Source organism: Homo sapiens, chromosome X (assembly GCF_000001405.40).
Source record: "Homo sapiens chromosome X, GRCh38.p14 Primary Assembly".
Lineage (NCBI taxonomy): Eukaryota > Metazoa > Chordata > Mammalia > Primates > Hominidae > Homo > Homo sapiens.
Window position 1 is genome coordinate 152725962 of NC_000023.11, and position 19691 is coordinate 152745652.

At 45.3% G+C, this 19691-nt stretch overlaps 2 protein-coding genes and 1 pseudogene across 8 annotated transcripts, besides 1 other annotated feature; 2 read left to right on the top strand and 1 right to left on the bottom strand.

Annotated features, from left to right (window-relative positions):
• CSAG1 (chondrosarcoma associated gene 1) lies at positions 1523 to 7760 on the bottom strand. Of its 4 annotated transcripts, NM_153478.3 has the most exons (5): positions 7707 to 7760; positions 7060 to 7275; positions 6484 to 6543; positions 2113 to 2263; positions 1523 to 1902 (listed from the first exon to the last, which is right to left on the bottom strand). In NM_153478.3, the coding sequence occupies exons 3-5, from the start codon at positions 6497 to 6499 to the stop codon at positions 1833 to 1835; spliced, it is 237 nt and encodes a 78-aa protein (NP_705611.2). In that variant the 5' UTR covers positions 6500 to 6543; positions 7060 to 7275; positions 7707 to 7760; the 3' UTR covers positions 1523 to 1832. The 4 variants fall into 4 exon arrangements, with proteins under 4 accessions (NP_705611.2, NP_001096046.2, XP_047297814.1 ...); NM_001102576.3 differs by lacking the exon at positions 7060 to 7275; XM_047441858.1 differs by lacking the exon at positions 7060 to 7275 and having other exon boundaries at positions 2062 to 2263.
• Positions 7354 to 8552: an enhancer, noted in NCBI's record as "CDK7 strongly-dependent group 2 enhancer chrX:151902449-151903648 (GRCh37/hg19 assembly coordinates)". NCBI's record gives its function as "activates an origin of replication core promoter dependent on BRD2, BRD4, P300/CBP, MED14 and CDK7 cofactors, with strong dependence on CDK7, by STARR-seq in HCT116 cells {active_cell/tissue: HCT116}" and the evidence as "EXISTENCE:reporter gene assay evidence [ECO:0000049][PMID:35650434]".
• MAGEA12 (MAGE family member A12) lies at positions 7796 to 11708 on the top strand. Of its 3 annotated transcripts, none has more exons than NM_001166387.4 (3): positions 7796 to 7898; positions 9187 to 9292; positions 10126 to 11708. In NM_001166387.4, exon 3 carries the CDS (start codon positions 10201 to 10203, stop codon positions 11143 to 11145), a length of 945 nt encoding a protein of 314 aa, NP_001159859.1. In that variant the 5' UTR covers positions 7796 to 7898; positions 9187 to 9292; positions 10126 to 10200; the 3' UTR covers positions 11146 to 11708. The 3 variants fall into 3 exon arrangements, with proteins under 3 accessions (NP_001159859.1, NP_005358.2, NP_001159858.1); NM_001166386.3 differs by lacking the exon at positions 7796 to 7898 and adding an exon at positions 7901 to 8073; NM_005367.7 differs by lacking the exon at positions 9187 to 9292.
• On the top strand, positions 7866 to 15024 carry CSAG4 (CSAG family member 4 (pseudogene); annotated as a pseudogene). Its single transcript, NR_073432.1, is given in 4 exon segments — positions 7866 to 7898; positions 13722 to 13918; positions 14290 to 14440; positions 14651 to 15024. The product of NR_073432.1 is annotated as a CSAG family member 4 (pseudogene) (transcript).
• Positions 15025 to 19691: the final 4667 nt, after the last annotated feature.

Below are 19691 nucleotides of genomic sequence, written 5' to 3' on the forward strand. Positions count from 1 at the left end.
ACTGGCCTATGATGCCACCAGACAGTGCCTGGGGTAGAGGGCTGGTCCAAGGTGTGTATGTGAGCAGGTTGGATGGCAAGGCAGTGCAGATGGCACCCTTCCTTGTTAAACTGATGGGGACGTGTGGGGTCCAATACAGGAGGCATCATGCACAATACTGTTGGGAGCATCCTCACCTCCATGATAGTGTTTGGGCATGGGGAGTAGGCATCTGCAGTGATGCTCTCAATGATAGTTTCCAGGGGATTTCTAAACTCAAGTGAGCACAGGTGATGGAACTGTGGGTTTCTTCAGGTAGGCGGGAGGCCAAGGCAGGGGCAGCCTCCACGTTTTGAATCAATGAATTCCCATGCCTGGTAATTTCATTCATTCATGCACTTATTGATTCCTACAGAAAACTTTTATTGAATATATGCTGAGGAAACAGCAAGTCAACAAAACAAAAGAAAGTGGCAAGGCCCTTAATACTGTCTGTAAGGGGATGGGGGAGATGGAGAGGAGGTGTGAATCGCCCATCTGAGCCAGGGAGTCCAGGAAGGCAGAGCCAGACTTGGGGACAGGCAGTGTGCAACAAAGGGAGTGACAGCCTGTGTCCAGGCAAGCAAGCGCTCTTTCTATGACACTATCAATCTGGTTTTCCTCCTGGATGTTGCCTGTGTGTGAAAGCAACTGCTGTTCTCTGTGCCTGCCTGCCTCTGTTAATAGGGAAAATGCTAATGGTTGGCAGATGCTCACTTCTGCTCACCTTGGGTCACCTCTACTGAAGGGATGGTTTGACAGCAAAAGGACAGGAAGAAACTTTTGGGGAGTATGAATATATTTTGCACCTTCTATGTGGTTGTGATTTCATGGGACTACACATTTGTCAAAACTGTTTAAATTGTTTCTCAGTATTTAGGAGAAAAAGTAAGCAGAAAACCAGGAAGGATATAGATGACCTGAAAAGCACCATTAACTACTCTGACCAATTAAAATAATGAGAAAAGCACTGCATTCAACAACAGCAGAATAAACATTCCTCTCAAGTGTGCATGAAATATTTCCCAGGATAGATGGTATTCTGGGCCATCAAACAAAGCTTACAAATTGAAAAAAAAAATAGAAATAATAAAAAGCCTCTTCTTAGACCATAATATAATTAAATTCAAAACCAAACACCAAGATATCTGAAAAATGCCCAAATATTGGAAATTTTAAAATATGCTCCTAAATAACCTATGGGTCAAAGAGGGAGTCTCAGGAGAATTTTAAAAATACATTAAGTTGAATGAAAATAAAAATATACATACAAAAATGGGATTCAGCTAAAGTGTTTCCTTGAGGGAAATGTATAGCATATTTTATGTTTATATTAGAAAATGAAATCTAAAATCAATAACCAAAACTTTCACCCTAGGAATCCAAAGAACAAAGAGCAATTTGAATTTAAAGAAATTGTAGAGGATCCCCCCATCCCTTCCCACACTCCCACCTCTTCCCCTTAAGCCCTACCCCCAACCTTTGAGACACACAGACACACACATCATTTTACAACATGTTCATTTTATTTCCATCACCATGGGGCATACCCTTTGGGGTGTAAAACGTACTCTACACCCTGTTGGCTATTTATCTGGGGTTAGACTTCTGGAGACTTTTCAGATAGACTTGAAGTCTCTGGCCTTGCCTGGGAATTACTGGCTGCCCAAGGAAGCACTGGAGAAGGCGGTGGTCTCCTTGCCCTTGTGGTCCTGCTATGGCGCATTTTGATTGAGTTCCTCGTTCGGCTGGTCAGAGTGGCTGGATAGTGTTGGCCCACTCCATTCCTCAGGTTTTTTTGAAGCGGTGGTCTTTTAGGGAGAGCCTTTTGTTCCTGGAACTTCCTTGACGGGTCCCTTTTCCCTTCTGGGTTGTCTTGGGAACCTGGAAAGCCAACAGGGAGATCACAGGAGGGCACTGGTTTGGGGAAGAGGATGGAGGAGGGGTGAGAACAGGGGTTTCATAGAGAAATGGTACAGGCTGGGGTGGGGGTTGTGCCAGGGGAGGACAGGGTAGGAGTCAGAGCTTGGGTGGGCCATTCACTTTGATAGGGCTTCTGGGCCAGGGATGAGAGGATGCTTTCCCCTTCCTCGCCTCTTTGGTGTTGATGGGTGGTTGTTGGAAAATGGGCTGGAGGCTCGTGGTTTCCTGGACATCTTCACCAGACCAGTGTCTCTGTACAGTCTACTCCAGTCCACCTGGTCTCCCCGAGCTTCCCCCAGGACAGTGAAGGCAGGCCAGCAGGCTAGAAACTCACACGACATTATTATGTTAGTCTTGTGGTAGAATTCCTTTTCCAAGAAACCTTGGTCTTTTAACACCTTCAACTAATTGGATGAGGCCTATCCACATTATGGAAGTTAAATTGCTTTACTTAAAGTCAACTGATTGTAAATGTTGATCACATCTACAAAATACCTTCACAGCAACATCTAGACTACTGTTTGACCACACAGCTGAGCAGTATAGCCTAGACAAGTTGACACATAATACTAGCCACTGCAAATATCTTGCACCGTACAAAAATGTGACTCAAAATGAACCGCAATCTTAAATGCCAAAATTACGGGCTTTTTTTCTAGGAGGAAACAAAAAAAAATTGTGTTACCTGAGGTTATGTACTAGTCAGCTCAGGCTAGAATAACAAAATGTCATTGACTGAGTAGCTGGAACAACAGAAATTTATCTTTTTTCACAGTTTTGAAGTCTGGAAGTCCCAGATCAAGGACTGGCGGGGTTGGCTTCTGGTGATGGCCTTATTCCTGGCTTGTAGATGGCCCTTTCTCAATATGTCCATTCTTGGCCCTTCCTCTGTGCATGTGCAGAGAGCGCGCGAGAGAGACAGCGAGCTCATGCAGGCACAAAAATGCTATCTTCTGTCTCTTCTCCCTTCTTATAACCACACTAATTCTATGGGATCAAGGCCCCACCCTTATGACCTCTTTTAACATTAATCACTTCCTTAGAAGCCTCATCACCAAATACAGACACCCTGGGGCTGAGGGCTTCAAAATATGAATTTGGTGGAGGACATAAGCATTAGCAAAGAATAGACACATAGGTTAATAAAACAGAATAGAGCTCAGAAATAGACCTGCACACATATAGTCAGGTGATTCACAACAAAGGCAATAATGGTGAAAGTACAGGTTTTCCAACAAAAGGTGTCGGAACAATTAGACACCTATACACAAATTATAATAACCTGGACATATCCTTACATATTCCATGAAAACTAACTCAAGATACATCATAGGTCTAATGAAAAATGCAAAAACAATACAACCTCTATAAGAAAACATGAGAGAAATCCACATAACTTTGAGTTTGGAGATGAGTTTTTAAATTCAACACCAAAAGCATGATCAAGGAAAGAAAAATTTGCCAAGTTGATTTTATTAAAATAAACATCATGTGCTCTTCAAAAGACAATGTTAAGAGAATGAAAACAGAAGCCACAGACTAGCAGAAAACATCTGCGGTACACATATGTGATAAAGAACTTGTCTCTACAATATATGCGAATTCTTAAAGCTCAGCGATAGAAAAAAATGAAAATAGTCAAAGATCTGAACACACACTACACAAAAGAAGATACACACATGGCAAATAAGCATAATAAATGTACTAAGCGTGTTTTGTCATTAGATAATTGTGTACTAAAATGAGATACCACTACACACCTATTAGTATGTCCAAAATCCATAAAAAAGCAAAACAAAGCAAACAAAACCAAGACCAATTGCCAGGGAAGATGTGGAGCAACAGAAACTCTCATTCATAGCTCGTGGAAATGCAACATGGCACAGCCACTTTGGAAGACAATTTGGCGTTTTCTTAAAAAACGGAACATAGACTTAGCGTAAGATTCAGCAGCCATACTCAATCAATTTACCCAATTGATTTGAAAACTTATGTCTACATAAAAATTTGTATATGAATGTATACAATAGCTTATTTCACAATCACCAAAAATAGCAGCATCCAAAATGTATTTCATTTGGTGAATGGATTATATATATATATATATACACACATACACACACACACGCATTAAAATATGGTACACCCAATGATACTACTACTCCTCAATGAAAAGGAATAAGTTACAAGCTGCACAAAGTTTTACATGACTCTTCAGTTCATTATGCTAAACGAGTCTAAAGAAACGAGTCTAGAAAGAAACGAGTCTAAAAAGGCTACATAGTATACGAGTCTATTTATATGACATTCAGGAAAAGGCAAAATTATAAAGATGAAAAACCTATCAGTGGCAGCCAAGGGGGTTATCTGACAAGCACAGGGGATTTATCAGGGCAGTGAAACTAGTATGGTAATACTGTAATGGTGGTTCCGTGCTTGCTTTCATCTGAATATTTGTGTTCCCACAAACTTCATCTGCTGAAATACCAAGGTGATGGTATTAGGTAGAAGGTGGGGTATTTGGAGAATGACTAGTTCATGAGAGCAGAGACCTCATGAATGGGATCAGTGTTTTTATAAAATAGTCCCCACAGAGATCCCTTGCCCCTTCCTCCATGCGAGGACATAGGGAAAAGGCAGGTGTCTAGGAACTAGGGAGCAGGACTCCACCAGACATGAAATCTGCCAGCACCTTGATCTTGGACTTTCCAACCTCCAGAATGTGAGAAATAAAGTTGTGTTGTTTATAAGCCACCTAGTCTACACTATTTTTGTTATGGAAGCCCAAACGGACTAAGACAATGGCAAGAGGCATTTGTCAAAACCCATAGATCTTTACAGCACAAAGAGTGAAGCTTAATGTATGTAACGTCTAAAAGTAACTTAAGAGGTTGGAGAATCACAGAACAGAATGTAAAATGTTACACACACAGAAACCTAGCTGTATTATAGATGTATGAAACCACCACAGTGAAGCAAGTGGGGGGAAAGTTATCATATTTGGGTACTTCATCAAAGAAATATATATTTTATAAAGTATATGTCTTCCAGATAAGTTTGTAAAATAGTTGAACATTTGATAATCATTTATTTAATTTTTTAGATATCAATGCTATTGGGTTTTTGTTTAATAAAAAGTCCTTTTCCTTTAAAATGCATGTTAAATTGTTTAGAGATGAAATGGTCTAATGCCTTAGATTGGCTCCACGTTATTACAGAAGCTCATATGCAGGTAGGCAAGTGTCTAACTGGAACCAGCTTTGCTGTGTATTTAAAGTTGTTCATGCTCGGTATCAAGTATCCTGGGTTCATAATATTAGTTTCTGTTATTCTGTATGTGTGAAGGCTTTCCCTAATAAAACGTTTTTTATCACAAATATGCCATTAAAAGTGAAATCCTAAATGAAACTGACCACTTCATAGAAATAAAATACATCAGTAACCAAACTGATCCAAAAAGAAAAAGAAAACTTTAATTAAACTATACAAACTGAAACTGTACAATATTCAAAGCTCAAGCCACCCTCAAACATTCCAGGTTAGGCAGTTTTGGAGGCCAATTCTACCAAATGATCAGGGAAAACTAACCACCATCTTATATCAACTCTTCCAAAACATACAAAAGATTGACAATTGTTCAGTTCATTCTCCCAGACTAGCCCTCCTGGATTCAAAATCAGATGAGGACCACATCCCTCCCCGATGGAAAAAGAACACACCAAGTAAGCTCCCTTACCTAGCAGTAAATACCTTACCTAAATTAGTAGCATATTAAACAAATAGACAGGCTCTGCCCAAGGAAATAACATATGATTTAACATCAGAAAAAAAAAAACGGTTTCATTGTAATTCCTTACATACAAAATGGAGGAGAAAAAATTTGATCCTGTCAAAGGGTACAGAAAAAGCTTTTTAAAGACATTTAATGAGTTTATGGAAAAAAGAAAATATTTATTTAACCTATATTCAAAGAGCACTTCCATTTCCTAAAATCAACAGCAAACATACTTAAATGTCAAATGTTCGAAGAACTATCATTCCAGTCAGGAACGAGAAGTAGATGTAGCCTATTATCTCTACGTTTGAAATCAGGATTGAGACACAAAAAGCTATAAGTATCAAAATGAGTAAGTGGTATGAATATTGGAAAAACATGTAATGTTTAGTGATAATACCATTATCGATCTTGAAAATTCAAAGGAAAAGGCATGTGGAATATTCAAGTGCATCGGCCTTCAGAATGAGGTGTGCAACAGATTACTACAGCAAAATCAAAATCTTCACCTCACGAAAGCAATAACTAACTACAGCAATTAATAGACAATATGCCATTTGCAATAGCAATAAAATCCAAGAATTACCTGAATAGAAGTCTAATAAAAATGTATAAGCTGCTTATAGAGGCAACTATCGAAGTATACTGACATATTCAGGAAAAAATAGCTTGACATACATAGAGGAGTATAACATATTCATTCATGGGGAACACAACAGTGTAAAAATGTAAACTCAGCTTAAATTATTTACAATTTAGTGCCTTACCTGTAGTCGCCGACATTACAAGCAAATTTGGGCTGCTGTGCTCTGCTTCCCAAATCAACCCTGTAAATTTATAGAATGGAAACAGAAAGTAAAAAACCAGTATTAGCAAGAAAATCTACACAACAAAACAGGGCCAGTCCAGGGTGAGACTGAAGACCTTGTTGAGCTGGTACTTGTGTGTGACACTTGCCGTGTCGGTTAGAGGGGGTTAGCGGCAGGGATGTTGGGGAGGTTTGTAGCCTGCCTAGACGGCAGATAACAGAATGGGTAGAATAAAAGTTTTAAAATTTCCACTTCACTTCATTGCACAATCTGAGGCAGCTCCTGAAAACACGATGCCAAGAGCCCTAGGTAATAGCAGGACACCAGGAAAATTGGGTTTGTTAAGGCAGCATGGCTCCAGAGTTCTGCTAATAACAACCTGAAACCAACATAGTGGGAGAGGAATTACGTTTAAAAAAAAATTCCTTCAACAGAACACAAAGACTGGAATAGAAGTAGATTAGGATAGTAAGAGTGAACGATGCATACTAAGGGTAGGTGTTAGTTCGTAGAAATAAATATATATATCGCTACCTACATATATACTTGGAAGATATGTAAACCGTATTTCTTCAATTCAGTGAATAAATCATTTAGGACCAAAGGTTTGCCAAGTGTAGCTCTGGCTGGAGAGGAGCTCCCGTGGGAAAGTGTCTGTCTTCTTCCAGAGGTCAATACGATCGTGGGAGCTCCCGCCCTGCAGGGAGCTCCTGGCCTGGGACCCGCAGCCATTCTCTACAAGGGGTGCAGCTGTGCAAATGCACAGACGTTACAGAAACAGAGTATCTCCTGCCAATCACTTCATCCAACAGCCAGGAGTGAGGAAGAGGACCCTCTTGAGTGAGGACTGAGGGTCCACCCTCCCCCACGTAGTGGGACCACAGAATCCAGCTCAGTCCCTCTTGTCAGCCCTGGTAAACTTAGGCAATAATGTCACCCCGACCACACCCCTCCCCCAGTGCCACTTCAGGGGGACTCAGAGTCAGAGACTTGGTCTGAGGGGAGCAGACACAATCGGCAGAGGATGGCGGTCCAGGCTCAGCCTGGCATCCAAGTCAGGACCTTGAGGGATGACCAAAGGCCCCTCCCACCCCCAACTCCCCCAACCCCACCAGGATCTACAGCCTCAGGATCCCCGTCCCTATCCCTACCCCTACCCCCAACACCATCTTCATGCTTACCTCCACCTCCATCTGGATCCCCATCCAGGAAGAATCCAGTTCCACCCCTGCTGTGAACCCAGGGAAGTCACGGGGCCGGATGTGACGCCACTGACTTGCGCGTTGGAGGTCAGAGAACAGCGAGATTCTCGCCCTGAGCAACGGCCTGACGTCGGTGGAGGGAAGCAGGCGCAGGCTCCGTGAGGAGGCAAGGTAAGATGCCGAGGGAGGACTGAGGCGGGCCTCACCCCAGACAGAGGGCCCCCAATAATCCAGCGCTGCCTCTGCTGCCGGGCCTGGACCACCCTGCAGGGGAAGACTTCTCAGGCTGAGTCGCCACCACCTCACCCCGCCACCCCCCGCCGCTTTAACCGCAGGGAACTCTGGTGTAAGAGCTTTGTGTGACCAGGGCAGGGCTGGTTAGAAGTGCTCAGGGCCCAGACTCAGCCAGGAATCAAGGTCAGGACCCCAAGAGGGGACTGAGGGTAACCCCCCGCACCCCCACCACCATTCCCATCCCCCAACACCAACCCCACCCCCATCCCCCAACACCAAACCCACCACCATCGCTCAAACATCAACGGGACCCCCAAACCCCGATTCCCATCCCCACCCATCCTGGCAGAATCGGAGCTTTGCCCCTGCAATCAACCCACGGAAGCTCCGGGAATGGCGGCCAAGCACGCGGATCCTGACGTTCACATCTGTGGCTCAGGGAGGGAAGGGGGTCGGTATCGTGAGTACGGCCTTTGGGAAGCAGAGGATGGGCCCAAGCCCCTCCTGGAAGATAATGGAGTCCGGAGGGCTCCCAGCATGCCAGGACAGGGGCCCAAAGTACCCCTGTCTCAAACTGAGCCACCTTTTCATTCGGCCGCGGGAATCCTAGGGATACAGACCCACTTCAGCAGGGAGTTGGAGCCCAGCCCTGCGAGGAGTCAAGGGGAGGAAGAAGAGGGAGGACTGAGGGGACCTTGGAGTCCAGATCAGTGGCAACCTTGGGCTGGGGGATCCTGGGCACAGTGGCCTAATGTGCCCCATGCTCATTGCGACTTCAGGGTGACAGATTTGCGGGCTGTGGTCTGAGGAGTGGCACTTCAGGTCAGCAGAGGGAGGAATCCCAGGATCTGCCGGACCCAAGGTGTGCCCCCTTCATGAGGACTGGGGATACCCCCGGCCCAGAAAGAAGGGATGCCACAGAGTCTGGCTGTCCCTTATTCTTAGCTCTAAGGGAACCCGATCAGAGATAGCTCCAATTGGCAATGTCATTTGTACCACAGGCAAGAGGTTGGGGAACCCTCAGGGAGATAAGGTGTTGGTGTAAAGAGGAGCTGTCTGCTCATTTCAGGGGGTTGGGGGTTGAGGAAGGGCAGTCCCTGGCAGGAGTAAAGATGAGTAACCCACAGGAGGCCATCAGAAGCCTCACCCTAGAACCAAAGGGGTCAGCCCTGGACAACCTACCTGGGAGTGACAGGATGTGGCTCCTCCTCACTTCTGTTTCCAGATCTCAGGGAGTTGAGGACCTTTTCTTCAGAGGGTGACTCAGGTCAACACAGGGGCCCCCATGTAGTCGACAGACACAGTGGTCCTAAGATCTACCAAGCATCCAGGTGAGAAGCCTGAGGTAGGATTGAGGGTACCCCTGGGCCAGAACGCTGACAGAGGGCCCCACAGAAATCTGCCCTGCCCCTGCTATTCCCTCAGAGAGCCTGGGCAAGGCTACCTGCTGAGGTCCCTCCATTATCCTGGGATCTTTGATGTCAGGGAAAGGGAGGCCTTGGTCTGAAGGGGCTGCACTCAGGTCAGTAGAGGGAGGCTCTCAGGCCCTAGCAGGAGTAGTGGTGAGGACCAAGCAGGCTCGTCACCCAGGACACCTGGACTCCAATGAATTTGGACATCTCTCATTGTCCTTTGTGGGAGGATCTGGTTATGTATGGCCAGATGTTGGTCCCCTCATGTCCTTCTGTACCGTATCAGGGATGTGAATTCTTGCCATGAGAGTTTCTTTGGCCAGCAAAAGGGCGGTATTAGGCCCTGCAAGGAGAAAGGTGAGGGCCCTGAGTGAGCACAGAAGGGACCCTCCACCCCAGTAGAGTGGGGACCTCACAGAGTCTGGCCGACCCTCCTGACAATTTTGGGAATCTGTGGCTGTACTTGCAGTCTGCACCCTGAGGCCCATGGATTCCTCTCCCAGGAATCAGGAGTTCCAAGAACAAGGCAGTGAGGCCTTGGTCTGAGGCAGTGTCCTGAGGTCACAGAGCAGAGGGGGTGCAGACAGTGCCAACACTGAAGGTTTGCCTTGAATGCACACCAAGGGCCGCACCGGCCCCAGAACACATGGGACTCCAGAGCGCCTGGCCTCACCCTCCCTACTGTCATTCCTTCAGCCTCAGCATGTGCTGGCCGGCTGTACCCTGAGGCGCCCTCTCACTTGTTCCTTCAGGTTCTGAGGAGACAGGCCCCGGAGCAGCACTAGCTCCTGCCCACACTCCTACCTGCTGCCCTGACCAGAGTCATCATGCCACTTGAGCAGAGGAGTCAGCACTGCAAGCCTGAGGAAGGCCTTGAGGCCCAAGGAGAGGCCCTGGGCTTGGTGGGTGCGCAGGCTCCTGCTACTGAGGAGCAGGAGACTGCCTCCTCCTCCTCTACTCTAGTGGAAGTCACCCTGCGGGAGGTGCCTGCTGCCGAGTCACCAAGTCCTCCCCACAGTCCTCAGGGAGCCTCCACCCTCCCCACTACCATCAACTATACTCTCTGGAGTCAATCCGATGAGGGCTCCAGCAACGAAGAACAGGAAGGGCCAAGCACCTTTCCTGACCTGGAGACGAGCTTCCAAGTAGCACTCAGTAGGAAGATGGCTGAGTTGGTTCATTTTCTGCTCCTCAAGTATCGAGCCAGGGAGCCATTCACAAAGGCAGAAATGCTGGGGAGTGTCATCAGAAATTTCCAGGACTTCTTTCCTGTGATCTTCAGCAAAGCCTCCGAGTACTTGCAGCTGGTCTTTGGCATCGAGGTGGTGGAAGTGGTCCGCATCGGCCACTTGTACATCCTTGTCACCTGCCTGGGCCTCTCCTACGATGGCCTGCTGGGCGACAATCAGATCGTGCCCAAGACAGGCCTCCTGATAATCGTCCTGGCCATAATCGCAAAAGAGGGCGACTGTGCCCCTGAGGAGAAAATCTGGGAGGAGCTGAGTGTGTTGGAGGCATCTGATGGGAGGGAGGACAGTGTCTTTGCGCATCCCAGGAAGCTGCTCACCCAAGATTTGGTGCAGGAAAACTACCTGGAGTACCGGCAGGTCCCCGGCAGTGATCCTGCATGCTACGAGTTCCTGTGGGGTCCAAGGGCCCTCGTTGAAACCAGCTATGTGAAAGTCCTGCACCATTTGCTAAAGATCAGTGGAGGACCTCACATTTCCTACCCACCCCTGCATGAATGGGCTTTTAGAGAGGGGGAAGAGTGAGTCTGAGCACGAGTTGCAGCCAGGGCCAGTGGGAGGGGGTCTGGGCCAGTGCACCTTCCAAGGCCCCATCCATTAGTTTCCACTGCCTCGTGTGACATGAGGCCCATTCTTCACTCTTTGAAGAGAGCAGTCAGTATTGTTAGTAGTGAGTTTCTGTTCTATTGGATGACTTTGAGATTTATCTTTGTTTCCTGTTGGAATTGTTCAAATGTTCCTTTTAACGGATGGTTGAATGAACTTCAGCATCCAAGTTTATGAATGACAGTAGTCACACATAGTGCTGTTTATATAGTTTAGGAGTAAGAGTGTTGTTTTTTATTCAGATTGGGAAATCCATTCCATTTTGTGAATTGTGACAAATAACAGCAGTGGAAAAAGTATGTGCTTAGAATTGTGAAAGAATTAGCAGTAAAATACATGAGATAAAGACCTCAAGAAGTTAAAAGATACTTAATTCTTGCCTTATACCTCACTCTATTCTGTAAATTTGAAAAAAAAGCATGGATACCTGGATATCCTTGGCTTCTTTGAGAATTTAAGAGAAATTAAATCTGAATAAATAATTCTTCCTGTTCACTGGCTCATTTATTTTCCATTCACTCAGCATCTGCTCTGTGGAAGGCTCTGCGTTAGTAGTGCGGATGCTAAGGTAAGCAAGACTCACGCCTACCCGTAGGGTTGTAGAGCCTAGGACCTGCAGTCATATAATTAAGGTGGCAAGAAGTCCTGTAAGATGTAGAGGAAATATAAGAGAAGGGTGAGGGTGTGGGGTTCCAGGAGGGAGTTGTGGAGTGTAAATGCCCTGAGCTGGGGCATTTTGGACTTTGGGAACCTGCAGTTCCTTCTGAAGGAGCTGACTCTGATGAAGCTGGGTGGGTCCAGGGCCCACAGATTCTCAGTGAATGAGAGAAAAGCCTGGAATGGAAAGCAACTCTGAGTAGTTTATTTCGGATGGGGGATGAACAGAGAGGAATCTCCACCTGGGGCTGGAATAGAAGGTGTCCTGTGCTTTTGTCCCACTGCTATTGAACACAACCCAAGATCTAGGTGATGAAAATCTATCATCTGCAAGGGTTTCCTGAGCGATAAGGCTGAATTTCCCAGGAAGGGTGACCCAGAAGCCACTGGCCAGGTGCTTTTCTGCCAGGCAGGGAGAGCCAGAGCTGACTCCATTAAAAAGGCATTCTAACTAGGTTATCTCAAGTGCAATTTGACCAATTGTAGGCGTGGGCCAGATTTTGGATGGTAACAAAATGGATGAAAATAGTGGTTTGGGTGGGAAAGCAGCTGGGAGAGATGGAAGGAATTGGTCTTTGACACACATTCTAGGAGTTTTGGGTTGCACCTGGCTGGGCAAAACTCCCGCACACACAAAGTTTGAAGTGCATTCTCTAAGAGGAAATACTTAACTGAATTTTACAGGTGAAGCTTCCTTTTTGGCCTAATTATCCCATGTCCTGTTGAGCTGTATATTTTCTGATGACTCCTGGAGAACAACGACAACAACAACAAAGTCCCAGAGTGTTAATGCCTAGGCTTTAAAAATATTAGAAATAACAGCCATCGGCCATTTGTTAAACTTCTAATTTCCACCACGCCCGGAGTTTCTGTTGCTCCACATCTTCACTGGCAATTGGTCTTGGTTTTGTTTTGCTTTTTTATGGGTTTTAGACATTCTAATAGGTGTGTAGTAGTATCTCACTTTAGTACACAATTATCTAATGCCAAAGGACACTCAGTATTTTATTATGCTTATTTGCCCTGTGTGTATCTTCTTTTGTGTAGATTGTGTTCAGATCTTTGACTATTTTCATTTTTTCTATCATTGAGCTTTAAGAATTCGTATATATTGTAGAGACAAGTTCTTTATCACATATGTGTACCACAGATTTTTTCTGCTAGACTGTGGCTTGTTTTCATTCTCTTAACATTGTCCTTTGAAGAGCATAAAATTTTTATTTTAATAAAATCAACTTGGCAAATTTTTCTTTCCTTGATCATGCTTTTGGTGTTGAATTTAAAAACTCATCACCAAACTCAAAGTTATGTGGATTTTCTCTTACGTTTTCTTTTAGAGGTTGTATAGTTCTTGTATTTTTCATCAGGTCTATGATGTATTGAGTTAATTTTCGTGCAATATGTAAGGATATGTCTAGGTTATTATAATTTGTGTATAGGTGTCTAATTGTTCAGGCACCTTTTGTTGGAAAACCTGTACTTTCACCATTATTGCCTTTGTTGTGAATCACCTGACTATGTGTGTGCAGGTCTATTTCTGAGCTCTATTCTGTTTTATTAATCTATGTGTCTATTCTTTGCTAATGCTTATGTCCTCCACCAAATTCATATTTTGAAACCCTCAGCCCCAGGGTGTCAGTATTTGGAGATGAGGCTTCTAAGGTAGTAATTAATGTTAAAAGAGGCCATAAGGGTGGGAGCTTGATCCCACAGAATTAGTGTGATTGTAAGAAGGGAGAAGAAACAGAAGAAAGTACTTTTGTGCCTGCATGACTTCTCTCTCTCTCTCTCTTTCTTTCTCTCTCTCTCTTCCTCTCTCTCTCTCTGCACATACACAGAGGAAAGGCCAAGAACTGACAAATTAATAAAGGGCCATCTACAAGCCAGGAATAAGGCCATCACCAGAAGACAACCCCGCCAGTCCTTGATCTGGGACTTCCACATTTCAAAACTGAAAAAAGATAAATTTCTGTTGTTTCAGCTACTCAGTCAATGGCATTTTGTTATGGCAGCCTAAGCTAAGACATAACCTCAGGTAACACAATTTTTTTTGTTTTGTCCTAGAAAAAAAAAGCAATGTAATTGTGACATATAAAGTCTGTGGCTCATTTTGAGTTACATTTTTGTATGGTGCAAGATATGTGCAACGGCTAGTATTATGTGTCAACTTGTCTAGGCTATACTGCTCAGCTGTGTGGTCAAACAGTAGTCTAGATGTTGCTGTGAAGGTATTTTGTAGATGTGATCAACATTTACAATCAGTTGACTTTAAGTAAAGCAGTTTAACTTCCATAATGTGGATAGGCCTCATCCAATTAGTTGAAGGTGTTAAGAGAAAAGACCAAGGTTTCCTGGAAAAGGAATTCTACCACAAGACTAACATAAAAATGCGCTGTGAGTTTCTAGCCTGCTGGCCTGCCTTCACTGTCCTGGGGGAGGCATGGAGAGACCAGGTGGACTGGAGTAGACTGTTGAGAGACACTGGTCTGGTGAAGATGTCCAGGAAACCACGAGCCTCCAGCCCATTGTCCAACAACCACCCACCAACACCAAAGAGGTGAGGAAGTGGAAAGCATCCTCTCAACCCTAGCCCAGAAGCCCTATCAAAGTGAACGGCCCACCGAAGCTCTAAATCCTACCCTGTCCTCCCCTGGCACAACCCCCACCCCACCCTGCCCCATTTCTCTATGAAGCCCCTGTTCTCACCCCTTCTCCATCCTCTTCCCCAAACCAGTGCCCTTCTTTGATCTCCTGGTTGGTTTTCCAGGTTGCCAAGACAACCTGGAAGGGAACAGGGACCCGTCAAGGAAGTTCCAGGAACAAAAGGCTCTCCCTAAAAGACCACCGCTTCAAAAAAACCTGAGGAATGGAGTGGGCCAACACTATCCAGCCACTCCGACCAGCCAAAAGAACTCAATCAAAATGAGACACAGTAGGACCACAAGGGCAAGGAGACCACCACCTTCTCCAGTCTCTCTTTGGGCAGCCAGTAATTCCCGGGCAAGGCCAGAAACCTCAAGGCTACCTGAAAAGTCTCCAGAGGTCTAACCCCAGAAAAATAGCCAACAGGGTGTAGAGTACATTTTATACCCCAAAGGGTATACCCCATGGTGACGAAAATAAAATGAACATGTTGTAAAATGATGTGTGTGTCTGTGTGTCTCAAATGGTAGGGGTAGGGAGTAAGGGGGAAGAGGTGGGAGTGTGAGAAGGGAGGGAGGTGGGATCTTCTACAATTTCTTTAAATTCAACTTGCTCTTCGTTCTTTGGTTTCCTAGAGTGAAAGTTATGGTTATTGATTTTAGATTTCATTTTCTAATATAAACATTTAAAATATGCTATATATTTCCCTCAAGGACACACTTTAGCAGAATCCCACTTTTTGTATGTACATTTTTATTTTCATTCAACTTAATGTATTTTTAAAATTCTCCTGGGACTCCCTCTTTGACCCATAGGTTATATAGGAGCTTATTTTAAAATTTCCAATATTTGGGCATTTTTCAGATATCTTGGTGTTTGGTTTTGAGTTTTATTATATTATGGTCTAAGAAGAGGCTTTCTATTATTTCTATTCTTTTCAATTTGTAAGCTTTGTTTGATGGCCCAGAATACCATCTATCTTGGGAGATATTTCATGCACACTTGAGAGGATTGTTTATTCTGCTATTGTTGAATGCGGTGCTTTTCTTATTGTTTTATTTAGTCAGAGTAGTTAATGGTGCTTTTCAGGTCATCTATATCCTTCCTGGTTTTCTGCTTACTTTTTCTCCTAAGTACTGAGAAACAAATCAAAGAGTTTTGACAAACATTTAGTCCCATCAAACCACAACCACAGTGAAGGTGAAAAATATATTCATCCTCCCCAAAAGTTTCTTCCTGTCTGCTTGCTGTCAAACCATCTCTTCAGTAGAAGTGATCCAAGGTGAGCAGAAGTGAGCATCCGCTGACCATGACCATTTTCCCTGTTAACAAAGGCAGGTAGGCACAGAGAGCAGCAGTTGCTTTCAGACACAGGCAGTATCCAGGAGGAAAACCAGACCAATACTGTCATAGAAGGAGAGCTTTCTGGCCTGGACACAGGCTGTCTCTCCTTTTCTTGCACACTGCCAGTCCCCAAGTCTGGCTCTGCCTTCCTGGCCTCCCTGGCTCAGATGGGCGATTCACACCTCCTCACCATCTCCCCCCACTCCCTACAGACTGAATTAAGGGCTTTGCCACTTTCTATTGTTTTGTTGACTTGGTGTTTCCTCAGCATATATTGAATAAAAGTTTTCTGTAGGAATCAATAAGTGCATGGAATGAATGAAATCACCTGGCATGGGAATTCTTTGATTCAAATTATGGAGTCTGCCCTTCCTGGGCCTCCTGCCTACATGAAGAAACCCACAGTTCTTTCACTTGTGCTCACTTGAGTTCAGAAATTCCATGGCAACTACCACGGAGAGGGTCACTGCAGACACCTTCTCCCCAGGCTCAAACACTTATCATGGAGGTAAGGATGCTTCCAACAGGATGGTGCATGACGCTTCCTCTATTGGACCAAACACATCCCCATCAGTTTAACAGGGAAGGGTGCCAACTCCACTGCCTTGCCATCCAACCTGCTCACATACACAGCTTGGGCCAACCCTCTACCCCAGACCCTGTCTGGTGGCAACACAGGCCTGTGATCAGTGCCCCAGTACACCTGTCTCCTCATGTGCCGAGAGCTCAGAAGCCTCACGAGTCCATCTGAGACATGGTCACCACCTGGATCATTTTCATTGCATGTCCACAGCCAATCCTTCATCTACAGAGTAGGAGCTTACTAGTCTCAGGGCACTCTTCCTCCAACTTCCCCTCCATGCAGCCTTGCTGCCACCTTTTACACCTCATAAATATTCCTGGCCTGTCTTGGTTGTTGCTCATCAATCAGCAACCCATTCACATAGTCCAGGCTCTATGGAGGGTCCACAGGAGATAAAACAGGAGCCCGCAGCAGGCTTGAAGACAACTTCCTGCCCTGGGACGCTGGCAAAAGTGCACACGACCACTGGAGTGGTGGAGAGAGGGAGCTCACCCAGAATGATGCAGGGAGCCAGCCATACTCTTCGTGAGAGAGGGAAAGGGATTCTGAGGGAGGGTTGGGTGTCTAGCACAACCGTGGTGTATTCAGTCAACAGGCCTGCCCATTCAGATCACACGGCCCCCTCCAGCTGGTGACGATGGTGCTGGAATTTCCTAAGCCTATTCCTTTTCATTGTCCTGCCCTCCCTCCTCTCTTCCCCCTTCTCTCCCTCAGGTCCCTGCCCCCACCGGGCTGAACTCTGGATTCAGACCTCTGAATGCCAGCCTGCCTGGGGAAATGTGGACTTGGTTTCATATACGGTCTCTCTCATGGACTCTGGCCATTGCTCTCCCCTTGTATTTGTTCATTTTCATACTGCTATGAAGAAATACCTGAGACTGGGTAATTTATAATAATAAAAAAAAGAGGTTTAATGGACTGACAGTTCTACATGGCTGGGAAGGCCTCACAATCATGGCAGAAGGGGAAGGAGGAGCAAAGATATGTCTCACATGGCAGCAGGCAAGAGAGCATGTGCAGGGGAACTGCCCTTTGTGAAAACATCAGATCTCCTAAGACTTATTTACTACGGCGAGAACAGCATGGGAAAAACTTATCCCTGTGATTCAATTACCTCCCACCTGATCCCTCCCATGACACGTGGAGGTTATGGGAGCTACAATTCAAGATGAGATTTGGGTGGGGAAACAATCAAACCATATCAGTGCTGGATCCTCCCGATTACCCTCATGGGCTGAGGGTGTCCTGTCTGCTCTCCTTCCCTGGCTCCTGTTCATTCTGACCAATTCCTTCTCAAAGCACAAGAGAAATGTCCTGTCCCCATTTCAGAATGTTAAACCATGCCTAGAGAAATGTTACTCAGGATGTCACTGTATAAATCCAACTTCATATGGGTGAGGGATTAAGTTAGTGTGTACTTAACCTAATTAGAGAAAGCAAAGACACAAAATAACAGTGAAACAATATTTCTTCACTAAATTTTATTCATAATTTTCACCAAAAATGAGAAGATTGATAACACAAAATCTTTCTGTGAGTGTAGGATATTCACATCTATTAATTTGTGAGAAAATTAATTGGTACAGTATTTTTGGAATAAAATTTTGACAATACTTCTAAAAAGTTAAACTATTCACACCATTTCCACTTTAACCCAATGTCCATGTTACTATATCTTTCTTATTGGAAAGCATGCATATCTGTCCAAAAATGTATGTTTATTTCAGTTCTATTAATCATAGCAACAAATGGGAATGAACGTATGTGTTTATCAGGAAAGGAAAGGTTTAATTAACTATGGCACACACCTACTTTAGAATTCTAGGGAATACTTACAAAAGTGATGTCGATTGTAGGTATAGTTGTGGGAAGACCTTGCGTTCATCTTATTACGTGGCAAAGGCATGTGACATATCAATACGTGCATCACTACCTGTGGGTGTTAAAACACTATATATTTTCATAAAACATCCATGTCTAAAAAAATCCTAGACTGAGCTTTAAAATGCTGCCCACGGATCTCATCCTCCACACTCTTCTTCATCAAATCACCACCAACTCTTACCCTTCTCCCTCCCTCTCAACTAAGGGAGCAACGTCACCAACCTCAGAAGTCAGGTCAATAGAGATTCTCTCCATCAGTTCACAGTCCCTCACTTCCTAAAACTCTTCCGTGTCTTTCCACCTCACCATCTCCCTCACGCCCCCCATAGACTGAGTTAAGGGCACTGCTGCTTTCTTGTGTTTTTTTGACTTGGTGTTTCCTCAGCATATATTGAATAAAAGTTTTCTGTAGGAATCAATAAGTGCATGAAATGAATGAAAGTACCAGGCATGGGAATTCTTTGGTTCAAATTATGGAGTCGGTCTGGCCTGGGCCTCCGACCTGCATGAAGAAACCCACAGTTCCTTCACCTGTGCTCACTTGAGCTCAGAAAAACCCGTGGAAACTACCAACGAGAGGGTCACTACAGATGCCTTATCCCCAGGCCCAAACACCGTCATGGAGGTGAGGATGCTCCCAACAGGATGGTGCATGATGTTTCCTTTATTGGACCCCACACATCCCCATCAGTTTAACAAGGAAGGCTGCCAACTCCAACGCCTTGCCATACAACCTGCTCATGTACACACCTTGGGCCAGCCCTGTACGCCAGACAGTGTCTGCTGGCAACATAGTCCAGCGATCACTGCCCTACGACACCAGTCCTCTTGTGTGCCAAGAGTTCAGAAGCCACAGAAGTCCATCTGAGACGCAGTCACCACCTGGTTCATTTTCAAGGCACGTCCACAGCCAATCCTTCATCTGCAGAGTCTGAGCTGACTAGTCCCAGGGCACTCTTCCTCCCATTTCTCCTCCATGCAGCCCCACTGCCCCTTTCAACTGCTCATGGGCATTCCTGGCCTGTTTTGGCAGTTGGTCATCAGTCAGCAACACACTCACATAGCCCAGCCTCTATGGAGGGCCCCCAGGGGATAAAACACCAGCCCCCAGCATGCATGAAGGCCTCTCCCAGATCTGGGATGCTGGCGAAGGTGCAAAGGACCACTGGAGGGTTCAAGAGAGGTAGCTGGCCCAGAATGATGCAGGGAGCCAGCCAAACTATTCCGGAGAGAGGGAAGGGGATTCTGAGGGCGGGAAGGTTGACCAGCACAGCCCTGGTGCATTCAGCCAACAGGCTTACCCACTCAGATCACAGGGCCTCCTCCAGCTGGTGATGATGGTGCCAGGATTTCC

Coding starts and splice junctions, on each gene's coding strand:
- CSAG1 (XM_047441858.1), bottom strand. Junction 1,903..2,061: donor GGCCCAGAAGCCCTATCAAA/GTGAATGGCCCA, acceptor TTGGCTTTCCAG/GTTCCCAAGACAACCCAGAA.
- MAGEA12 (NM_001166387.4), top strand. CDS start 10,201: ATGCCACTTGAGCAGAGGAGTCAGCACTGCAAGCCTGAGGAAGGCCTT.